A 12,098-nucleotide genomic window follows, 5' to 3' on the forward strand; every position below is an offset into this window, starting at 1 on the left:
ATGCTTTTTTAATAGCATGTCCTCGTTTCTATAGAGAACACTGAGTATGTTAATGCCATCCCAAGACACAACCATTTGCAAAAATTACAGTTTTGCATTGAGACTGGTTTCTAAACATCCATCACCATTTAATTCCAAAGAAGCGTCTTTACTGGAAGCACTTGCCACATTTTCTTGCCAGTATTTTTTTTTCTGCATACAAGTGGTCACCCTCTTGTCTTCCCCCAACTGGTGTGATCAATTGCTTGAAATGCCATGAAATATATATATTTTAAAAGCCTTTATAACTCTGATAAGTGAGCTTAATATTTCTGCCATGATGTTTAAGAGGGATCTTTTAAATATTTAGAAAACATGGGAAGTACCGTTTTAATGTATAATCAACACACTTTAAAATATTCAAATATGAACTGGGACAGTTTAGACTGCATCTTGATCAACTCTAAATAGGAGAAAAATTCAAGAAATTCTGGCCTCCATTTTCTTCCACATGAAGGAAGAAAGAGATGTCCATGCAAAGGGCAACATAGATTTAGAATCCTTTAACCCCGATTCTTCCATCCATGAGCCCTGGGTGGCCTTGATTAAGCTACCTAGCCTCTCCGATCTTCAGGTATCATCTGTCTCACCCATGCTCAAATGTCATTCTAAGGCTTAAAGCAAGTTAATGGCTGTGAATGTACATCATTTCCATGAGGGAAGGGGCTTGGCAGTCACACCCAAGTAGCTCTGCTGGGAGAACTTGAACAAATCACTGAATGCCCTCTGAGCCATAGTTTCTGCATCCGTAAAATGAGCCAGTTATACACACTTTGTAGGGTAGGTCTGAGGAGCAGAGATAATTAGTTGAAAGTACCCATGAAGCTGGAGACCCAGAAGTCTCTCCACCAATGGTGGCTACTGCCTGTTGAAACCCGTGGAGAGCTAGGCCTGGTGTGTTCCAAGGGCATTCGCAGAGTGGATGGGGGAACCAAGGCACCATCAACACTGAAGAGAGGTTTGGAGAGAGGGAACGCGTCCCTGGGAATCGTCTCTCTAGAGTTTAAGTACGGTGGCCAGCCATCATCGTTTTCCCGGGACTGAGGCATTTCCCAGGACAAGGGACTAAAACCAGGATGAGAAGTCACCCTATGTTTGAACAAATCTCCTCTTCAGCCCAAGAAATGGACAGGTCATGGTTCACTGAAGCCCCAGTTTCCCTGAGAACCTTCTCCATCTTCCATTCTGAGCTCTGTTTGCTGATTAGTCGTGGTTCTCTGTCGCACATTCTAGCATATTCTGGAAACTCTCAAGAAACAAAAGTTGCTGCCAGACAATGCTCTCCCTCCACACACGGCTCCATCTCAACTCCACGGACACTAGTGAGAGAGCCACTGGTGGCTACCCCTTTCCCAACTGTGTCTCTATTAGGTGAGTGCCGGGGACAGGGGAGGAGTGGGCACCGAGGGAACAGGCAAGAAAAGGAGAGAGTGAGTCCTCCAGTGCCGGTACTGCAGTGTGCTGGGAATCACCAGGAAGGGATTGAGAGAGGCCCACACATGTGGGAGGGGAGCTAGGGAAATCAATTTGGCAGGAGTTAATCACGAGAGCCCTGTCAGCATTTCAAGGACAGGCTTGTGTTTTCCTGTTCATCCGTAAGTAAACACTGAAAGCCTCCTCAACTGTGCAAACCCGCTGAGTCTTTTCTCCGTGGACATTCTAGCCCGGGAAGTTTCTAGGGTATGTCAAAGTGTCCACAAGCCCTGTAACCTTTGGTGTGTAAATCACAAACCTCCCAGGGTGGTCTGCTTGGACAGCTAGGACTTTCCTACCAAAGTCTTCATTCATCCCAAGTGGCCAACCAGCTGGAGCATCTTTAAATTAAAGGTTTTATTTTGCCACTTGGCCCCCCAGCCCAACCCCTGGCTCCTTTTTCTATTCTAAATCACTGTCCCTTGCTCCTCCAAGCTCTGAATGAATTGCATGTAACGAACATGTCTGCTGGTAGGCCTCTGTCATGAGCATTGAGGCCGATGTGGTTCAGTAACCTGATGCCTCAAACTTGAATAAAACACATGCCAGGGCCTCCCATCCTTGAATGTGAATGTGCTGGCATTTCACATTATTAAAAAAATAAAGGCAGGAGGGATGAGAGGGAGAAACTTGAAGTGTAAGGAACTTTTCTGAATGCAGCAGCTACCAATCCTGGATGCAAACTGCTGTGCAGAATAATTGTCAAATGCTTGCATAAACACATAAATAAGATAAATTTATTTTCATGATTCATATTGGGTGCTCTTTCCTTCCACTTATTTATGCTTTAAACAACAGTTACGGTAAATATAACGATAGAAAAGTGCCTACAGTGGACAGGAAGATGATCAAGAAGTCCTGATATACAGCAATCCACGTTGCTTCTTTACAATCACTAACGAATCTTAACTGGAGCCATGTTCCGTTCCCATGTGAGTGATAAGCAATGATTTATTATGAAGTGTCATGAAACCGGAATGCCATACAGTGAGCCATGAGCTAGTGGAAAATGTTTTCCCTGTTTCCCAACCTCATTACTCAAAGATGCAGTGTCCCTTTACCAAGCCTAATTTAACTGACTTTTTTGAGCACTCTACTCATTGGCAATGGAAAGTGGCCAATTCGAAGATGTCCAGGAAAGCCTGGTACCCAATGCCACAGCACTGGTCCATATGGTGTCTGAGCTGGCCGACAATGCTGGAACTGTGCAAACTGGCCAGTCTCCAGAAGTACAATCCCAAGAATCAGCTCAGCTCTCTGCCAAAGCAGCAAAGACACTAATGCACTCAGGAAATGAAACCCACCAGGGGAGAGGGAACCCAAAGAGCAACTTTGTTAGCTTTGGACCTTGTATTATCTATATGTCATGCCATTGTCCTACTTGGAACACGTGCCTTGATCATGTAAGATGTATCCAAGGGTACAAGGGAGCCAGCTGAGCCTAGAGGAAGACCACAGGCCTCAGAGGCAAGCCAAACCTGGTTTGGTCCCACCTCTTCCACTTACCTCCACAACCGCTGTGGTAGATGCACCAACAACCCCAGTACTTTACCCGCTCTGTATTCATGCCCTTGATCATGTCACTGTGTGGTGTCCTCTCGTTTGGATTCTAGGCTCAGCTATGTGACTTGCTTTCTCCAAGCAGATGTGATGCAGGCAGTGGCTTGAAAAGAGCTTGAACCTCTGCCATTGTTATTACAACATACACAGACTAGCCTGCTGGAGGATGAAAGAGCTATCCCTCCAGTTGTCCCATCCTTGAAACAGGAAGTGAATAGAAGGTCAGCTTTTGGCCAGGCGCGGTGACTTACGCCTGTAATCCCAGCACTTTGGGAGGCCGAGGCGGGCAGATCAAGAGGTCAGGAGATTGAGACCATCCTGGCTAACACGGTGAAACCCCGTCTCTACTAAAAATACAAAAAAAAAAAAAAAAAACTAGCCGGGTGTGGTGGCAGGTACCTGTAGTCCGTCCCAGCTACTCGGGAGGCTGAGGCAGGAGAATGGCGTGAACCCAGGCGGCAGAGCTTGCAGTGAGTCAAGATCGCACCACTGCACTCCAGTCTGGGTGACAGAGCGAGACTCTGTCGCAAAAAAAAAAAAAAAAAGAGAGAGAAGGAAAAACAAGGTCAGCTTTTTCACTCTTCTCTACTTCCTCCTTTTTTACACCTCCTTTTCCTTGGATGGGTGTTGGTGGAAAGAAGGACATGAATTCATAAATTCTCATATTGATGAAATGCTACTGCAATCATCTCTTGCCAGTGGATGCCCCTGGTAAGGCAGGTATCCAGGGACTGACTCTCTAGTGGGGGCACAAATGGGGTCTACAGAAGTCCCAGCTCCTAACATGGGAGATGAGTTCCATTCAGGAAGACTTCTAACTTCTAACCTAAACAGCTGCCCCACTCATGGTTCACCCTTCACTCTCTTGCCCCTAAGAGCCTTCCTCCCCTCTAGGGCTGGACCCCATAAGCAAAAAGACAGCTCTTGACCTAGTGGAAACTTACACATTTTTTTTCTTGCCACAGCATGGAGCATGTAGGAAGCTCAACTGCTTTCCCTTTTTCACTCCATCACCTTCCTCCAATAGCCTTTGCTCCTTCTCAATAGTCACAGAATATAGATCAGAGACTGCTGCATAAGCATAACCCAACAGGAAATTAGATGCCAATCTCCTCTTCTTGCTGGAACTCAATCCCTTCAAGTGTTTTTGTAGGACCACTCACCGGACTTCAGTGTTCCCCCTCCAAGAATTCCTCCACGAATTCCTCCAGTCTTTTCCTAAACAGGCTGGTGCAAGAAGGAGAAACTGATTAGTGGCCTGTTCTTCTGCCACTTAATAAATCCCATGGAAATGTGTCTGATTGCTCTCCCTTCCCTTTTTTACACCTTTTATTTTGAAATACTTTTAGACTTCAAGATAGTTGCAAAAAATCGCAGTTTATGCATACCCTTAACCCAACTTCCCCTAATGTCTTGCCTAAGCATGGTACAATTATCACAAGCAGGAAATTAACACTGGCTCAATACTAGTCACCAAACCACAGATCTTATCTGAATTTTATCCAAACGTCCTTACGCTGTTTCAGGACCTAACTTGGGCTCTTACATTGGATTTAGTTCTTGTGTGTCCTTCCCTTTCCATCTGTGACTGTCCCTCAATCATTCCATGTCTTTTATGAGCTTGACACTTCTGATAAACACTGGTTGGTGATTTTGTGAAATGTCTCCCACTTTGGGTTTATCTGATGTCCTCTCATGATTGGATTGATGCTATGGATGTGTGGCAAGTTTACCAATGATGTGCTCTCTCCTCGGTGCCTCATATTGTTACTGAAACACCAGGGGTTCCATCTGTGTCCTGTTGCTCACTGCAAATTAAAGCCAAATCACCAAGACAGTGAGTATTGCCAGGGAAGAAGAAATTTTTTTTTTTTTTTTTTTGAGACGGAGTCTCACTCTGTTGCCCAGGCTGGAGTGCAGAGGCGTGATCTCGGCTCACGGCAAGCTCTGCCTCCCTGGTTCACGCCATTCTCCTGCCTCAGCCTCCCGAGTAGCTGGGACTACAGGCACCTGCCACCATGCCCCGCTACTTTTTTGTATTTTTAGTAGAGATGGGGTTTCACCGTGTTAGCCAGGATGGTCTCGATCTGACCTCGTGATCCGCCCACCTCGGCCTCCTGGAAGAAGACTTTAATCGGGTGCTGCAGCTGAGGAAAGGGGAGATCAGTCTGAAATCCATCTCCCTGATTGAGTAAAATTAGGGGTTTATATAGCAGAGAAGAAATATAACTATGTGTAGGAAAACAGGAGTTAAGGAGGGTTAAGGAAGAGGAGTTGGTCAACAGGAAGCAGGTAGTCACTTAGGCAATCATGATGAATGAGGTGTCTGGTGTCTCATTGTCCAGATGCAGTGATCTGGTAAGTTTCAGTTCCTGGATACTATCAGGGAGTCCTGAGGGTTGGTTTCCTGAGAAAGGAACTCAGATAAGACAAATGTAACTTTCTCAAGTTTTAAGACTGGGAGGGTCAATTTCTGTGTTTCCTCAAAATAAACCATAAACATCAGTTCTATCAGATAATTGGGCTGGTTTCCATATCAGGAGTTTCTTGATGTTGATTTATCTTATTACTGGTGATGTGAACTTTGATCACGTGGTTAAGGTGGTGTCTGACAGCTTCTGTTAAGTAGGAGGCATACAGCTCCTTTAGTCCTTAACTTTGTGTCATTCCCCAAAATGTCATGAAACAAGAAGGTTTAACTCAGTATCCTGTTACCCTAGCTGTGTGATTTGGGGCATATAATTTGATGTTTCTCTGGACCACATATTTCTCTTCTGGAAAAGGAGACTAAAAATAACCACCTTTCAAGATTGCTGTAAAGATTAGTGATCATCCAGGCAAGATGACAGATGGCCTGGTAAACCCTCAAAAAATGGATACAAAGAACATCTTGAGTAATTTGCACACATTATCACCAACTCTCCCACACACAAAAAAAAGATGTATATAATCATCACCTATTTTTAGAAAAGAAACCTGGAACTTGAGGCTATGTGACTCCTCCAGTCATGTCCCTCCCCTGTATCAGAGTCTCTAATGACTCATCACCCCCCAACACTTTACTGTGGTCCTTCCCAGATCACTCCAGATTACCCTTTTAATATTAGTAACCACTCTTAACCCCTGGAAGGTATGATTAACATGTGGTCCCTGGAGTCAGAGAGCCCTAGGTTCAAACCATACCTGGGATATTTTGTGCCTGTTCTTTAGATTCTCTTCTCCTTTCCAAAGTTTCTAACTCATTGGGTTGTTGTGAGAATTAAATAAGTAAATAAAAGTTTTCAGCATAGTGAATAGCAAGTAGTAAGCACACAATAATTATATATGAAATGGGTGGTAATTACCATTTACTCATTCAACAAATATTTATGAGGCACCCACTATGTGTCAGGCACCGTTGAAGGCTGTCAACAGTGACTGAACAAGGCAAGAAATGTCCGTGTCCTCATTGAGTTTATGTTACAGTGGGTAAGATAGACAAATAAGTAAACAAGTAAGTAATATACTACCACATCTCTTAAGCAATGTGTTGGTTAAATGAACTCACCAACTATTCCCCAAACAAGACTGTATCCTTCTGCCTGGCTGTTCTTTCCACACAGAGGACTACCTGTTCCATCTTCACATATTAAAATCCTACCCCCTTCTTCAAGGCTTAGCTCAGCCTCCATCAGTTAATTAATTATTCATTTATTGATTCTTTAATTAGACTGACTACTATCTTATGGGTCTGCTTCTCCCACCATTAAGAGTGTCCCAATGCTATTATTTATGTACACATTAATCACCACCCCCATGAGCCTCCAGAGCACCATTTACTTCCCTTTGGCAACATTGATCTACTTTTTGTTATGTGCTTTGCATTCTACTTTCTTCACCAGATTTTAAGTTTGTTCTCTAAGGTCAGAGACCACATCTAGCTAATACACTTACTGGGTGGGACCCTCTTAATGGGCCTAGGGCCTGATATGTATAGGTGCTCAAATGTTTATTGATTGAAGAAATACATCAATGAATGAACATATCTTAACCTTCTTGCTGAATTGTGATTCATAGAAGGCACTGGCTATGCCTTACTCATTTAATATTTGTTTAAATGAACTGAGACACAGTAGTATTGAACATATTTGCTCCACTAATTATTTTGCTTGTGCTTTTGGCCTGGTCTCTCTTTTGATGTCCCCATCTCCCCCTCTTTAAAATACATCCTTCCATCCTTAGATAGTTTTTTGCTACATTGCAAGAATTATGTGATGGTAAAAGAAAGAATATGTGTAAAGCATTTTGATTGCTTTGGCAATGAGGTGCTCCAAAAATCTCAGGGATCACTTTTTGTTGCCAGTATATAGTCCCTAACTTTTCTTGAACTCATGCAGGATCCACAAGAATGAGCCATTTGCCTTTATTCTATTATTGTTTATGATTTCATAAGGCATTATCACTAATTTTACTGTGAAGAAGACTCTAAAGACCACTATTTTTTTGAGGCAGGGCCTTGCTCTGTCACCCAAGCTCCAGGATGGAGTGCAGTGGAACAAACATGGCTCACTTCAGAGTCCACCTTCTGTGCTCAAGCAGTCTTCTCGCCTCAGCCTCCTGAGTAGCTGGGATTACAGGCATGTGCCACCATACCTGGCTTTTTGTTTGTTTGTTTTGAGACAAGGTCTCCCCATGTTGCCCAGGCTGGTCTTGAACTCCTGTGCTCAACCAATTCTCCTGCCTTGGCCTCTCAAAGTGCTGGGATTACAGTCATGTAATCCACCACTCCTGGCCCACATTTTTCTTTCTAGTACCTATGCAGGCTGCCAGGAAAAGAAAAACAAAAGGTGCCAAGTAGTGGCTTTAAGGATTTATTTAGTTTCCTCTTTACAGTGTCCACTTTTCTCTACTTAATACTACTTTCCAGTCTCAGAAGCCCAGAGGGAAAAAAAAAAGACCATGAATCTTCCTCTCCCAGATTAAAGTACACACTTTGGAAAACAGATTGGAAAACCTTTCTGAAAAAAGTTGACTGAAACTCCAAACCAACATGCCATATTGTTGATGTTGCTCATGAAAATTGTTAAAAACCTGTTCTAGATAAAGAACAGTCTCAAGTTTTTGTACAGCCTACACATAGTACAAGGGTCCCCTATGATGATTCTTCTGTAGGACGAAATAATGTAATTTTTTCAGTTTCTGGTTTATAACTCTCTCGATCTCAAAGTTGACTGATTAAAACACCTACTCATGCAACAGAGAATAAAGCACTCATATTTTTATAAATTATATGGACCAAACTATTTTGGAAATCTTATCTATTGGAGACACAATATGCTGGACTAAAGCAATAATTATTTTATTCTCAATGTCTGTGCTAACCTCAATGACTTAGAATGCTTTGCTATATTTTGCCTCTATGCCTCAACCACACTGGCTTTCTTTTAGCTCTTGAACAAGCCAAACTGCTTCCTGCCTCAGGACCAGATATTTTGGGACTTCTCTTAAGAATTCTATTTCCTTAATTCTTTATCTGGGTAACTTAGTTTTATCCAACACTTCAGATCCTGCCGTAAAAACTCTTCTTATAGAAGCCTGTCATGACACTGTCTCTCTTCTCCAACATACTCACCAGCACACATGTAGACTAGATTAGAACCTCCTGTTTTTCTTTTTCATACTTTTCTCTATCATGCTTCCCTCCATTATAATATTTTTATTATGTGTGTGAATGTCTGCCCCAAGTCAGTTTCCTCACTAAACTATAAACTCCGTAAAGCTGGGATCCTTCCAATTTTGATCACCACTTAGTACAGTAGGAACACAGTAAAGATTCAATTGGTATTTGTGGAATGAATGAATGAATTGTTTTGCTAGTAAAGTCTGGGGGAACCCAGGTGAGAAGAGCCTAGAAAGCAGGTCGAATCCAAGGCTAGATAGACTTAGTGTTACTCAAGAAAGGGTAGCCTGAAAATAAAGGTTCAAATTATAGTCAAGAATAGTCAAGACATGGGCAAGACAAGAGTGCTGTCATCAAGTGTGAAGAACAAAGGGAAGTCAGTAACCCCAGATGACTAATGAAGGGGACAGGAGCAGCTTCAGCTGCAGTTCATGCAATGGGTCTAGGCAAGTGGCTTAGGGCTGAACTGTGCACAGTGTAAGGGGCTTAGAGGACCTACTTTATGTGGCCCAGGGGCCAGACTTAGAGTTCAAGGGAGAATTTGAGCCCATCTCTTATTAGTTACAGGAATTTAACACCATCTCTTATTACCTACAAGAACTAGAGCAGGCCAAGCGTGGTGGCTCACGCCTGTAGTCCCAGCACTTTGGGAGGCCGAGGCAGGTAAATCACTTGAGGTCAGGAGTTCAAGACCAGCCTGGCCAACGTGGTGAAACCCCATCTGTACTAAAAATACAAAAATTAGCTGGGCATGGTAAAGTGTACCTGTAATCCCAGCTACTCGGGAGGCTGAGGCAGAGAATTGCTTGAACCTGGGAGGTGGAGCCTGCAGTGAGCTAAGATTGAGCCACCGCACTCTAGCCTGGGTGACACAGTGAGACTCTGTCTCAAAAAAAAAAAAAAAAAGGAACTAGAACAAATCAATCACTGTATCTCTCTGAGCCCACTGAGCCCATTGACTTCACATGCAAAATGGGGTTATATATCAACACGTACCCCTACAACAAGATAGCATAGTATAAAACAATATTATGTGTGTGAAGGAGGTACATGTTTCTTCCAAGTTCTACTCAGTTCTTCTAAGAAGCTTCTACTCAGACATGAGTTCTGCCTGTTGTTTGTGTTTTTCTCAAGGAACGTTTAGTGTTGTATTGCTGTTAGATTGCTGCCTTACATATCCTCCATTGACTAGAAGCTTCTTGAAGGGAAGAAGCATGTCTTATTCACCGTAATTTTGTCGAGCTTCTGGTAGCATGCAGGTTGAGTCGGGAGATAAAAATGCCAGGCCTTCAGGGGTTTGATGTATGAATGAGGACCATGAGATTATAAATCAGCTACAAGGCTCCATGTGATCTCTCCATAAGCATCCACTCCTTGGAAGCTGTCTGACTTTATTCGTCTGTATGGCACAAAAGAGACACTTGGTAAATATTGAATGAACTGATGAATGAATGAATGAATTCGCCTTTGGTTAGGCATAGCAATAAAGAAAATGAAATTTAACTTTGTCTTCTAGACTTTGAATGCCTCTGCCAACAACTAAATATCTTCCAGGGAGGGCAGATGGCGGCCTGTACAATGAACAATTTAATCTTTAGAAACTGGAACAACTTTGCCAGCAAACTCCATTTTTCTCTACGAACACATTGTCAATAACATGTGCTCTCAAATATGTGGTGAAATTGATGACTGGGCCCTGATTTATAGAAACAACAACAAATTAAATGTTTACCTTTCTCTTTCCTAGCTTGGGGTCCTTCAGACCAGCCATGAATTTTTTTTTCCTGTGCTCTAATAATAGAGGAGGTTTAATTACAATGCTCCATCGTGTGATTGTGTGTGGAGTGGAAGCAAAGCAAAATGTCCAGGGTATCTTAATTTAAAACCAGGAGGGGAAAAGCCACTTATGTGATAATGAAGATTAACGTAGGGAGCCGCTGGCTCTCCCTTCTCACATAAAAGCAGATATTGGGGGAATCCTTCATACAAACATTTCTGTGACCACTCATTTAGCCTCTTGTAGGAAATCTTCTTGATTTTGGACAAACTCGAAGCTTTAGATTTGCTTGAAAATAGGCCAGGGTAGGAGAGGGATGCCCAGAGAAATGGAATTCTCCAAACAGTAATCAGGCTACATGTTTGGGACTATTCCTGGGAATGACAGACTGGTTTGGAAGAAGTCACCATCCTAGGACCTCTTCTTCTAGAATGGTGGCTCTGAACTCCTACTTGGGTCAAGAGCCTTTTTGAAAATATCATGAGAGCTACAGATTCTCTCTCCAGGAAAATCAAGTCTACCTATAACTTCATATACACACATGCACCAAAATGCTAAATTCTGCTTACAATGTCATCTCTTGTCTTTGCCATAAACTTAAACAACTTGAGTGACAATTGCTACTGAAAATTCCAGGCTTCACCAACCTTTCTGTGATGCTCATCCAAGATTAAGAACTGCTAGACTTAGAGGACCCTTGGTTTCTTTAGGCCACAAAACTGCTTAACTGTCTTAGGCTGTGGACTTCTTTGGCTGTCTGATGAAACCCGTGGAGCCCTTTAAAATGTCTTTAAAGGCCAGGCGTGGTGGCTCACACCTGTAATCCCAGCACTTTGGGAGGCCAAGGCAGGCAGATCACGAGGTCAGGATTTTGAGACCAGCCTGGCCAATATGGTGACACCCCATCTTTACTAAAAATACAAAAATTAGCCGGGCATGGTGGCACGTGCCTGTAGTCCCAGCTACTCGGGAGGCTGAGACAGAAGAATCACTTGAACCCAGGAGGTGGAGGTTGCAGTGAGCTGAGATCGTACCACTGCACTCCAGCCTGGGTGACAGAGTGAAACTTGGTCTCAAAAAAAAAAAAAAAGTCTTTAAAAACTAATGTTAAATGTGTTAATGTGGCTGTCCCTTTCCCATCCTTCAGGTCTTCATTCAGATGTCACTCCCTCAGAGAGGGCTCCCTCTCCCCTTTCTCAAAGTAGCCCCATCAGAACTGAAACCCTCCCAATTGTCCCATAGAATGGATGGTTATGGTTTCTTTTGAGTAAACATAGAAATTGACTCTCCCAGTCAATTTGAGAAAGTTTCATTTGTCTTATCTGAGCTCCTTTCTCTGGAAACCTACCCTCAGGCCTTGCAGACAGTATCAAGGAACTGAAACTTACCAGATCACCACATCTGAACAATGAGACAGAAGACCTCTCACCCATTATGACTGCCTGAGCGACCACCCACTTCATGTTGACCAAATTCTCTTTCTTACCACTCCCTAATTCCTGTTTTCCTTCATGTAGTTATATTTCTTCCCTGCTATATAAAACCCTTATTTCTTGTCAGTTGGAGAGATAGATGAGATTGACCTCCCAT

The 12,098-nt window shown here is 43.0% G+C and overlaps 1 protein-coding gene and 1 long non-coding RNA gene across 12 annotated transcripts in view; one reads left to right on the plus strand and one right to left on the minus strand.

Annotated features, from left to right (window-relative positions):
- The window catches only part of TSHZ2 (teashirt zinc finger homeobox 2), a 522,973-nt gene that overhangs the window by 470,621 nt on the left and 40,254 nt on the right, over nt 1-12,098 (plus strand). For 5 of the 10 annotated variants that reach the window (XM_047439875.1, XM_047439874.1, XM_047439873.1 and 2 more), the window contains exon 3: nt 1,273-1,410. The exons of the other annotated variants lie outside the window; for them this stretch is intronic. The gene's annotated coding sequence lies outside the window, so the exon portion shown is untranslated. The remainder of the gene's footprint in view (nt 1-1,272; nt 1,411-12,098) is intronic. 10 annotated transcript variants of the gene reach the window in all.
- The window catches only part of TSHZ2-AS1 (TSHZ2 antisense RNA 1), a 72,348-nt gene that overhangs the window by 11,008 nt on the left and 49,242 nt on the right, over nt 1-12,098 (minus strand). The window contains exons 4-5 of one of the 2 annotated variants that reach the window (NR_187667.1): nt 9,959-10,130; nt 4,236-4,299 (exon numbers count right to left, since the gene is read on the minus strand). This is a non-coding gene — a long non-coding RNA (TSHZ2 antisense RNA 1). Of the gene's footprint in view, nt 1-104; nt 4,300-9,958; nt 10,131-12,098 lie in introns of those variants that run through there. The other variant, NR_187666.1, reaches the window with a different exon arrangement.

Source organism: Homo sapiens, chromosome 20 (assembly GCF_000001405.40).
Source record: "Homo sapiens chromosome 20, GRCh38.p14 Primary Assembly".
NCBI classification, from domain to species: Eukaryota; Metazoa; Chordata; class Mammalia; order Primates; family Hominidae; genus Homo; species Homo sapiens.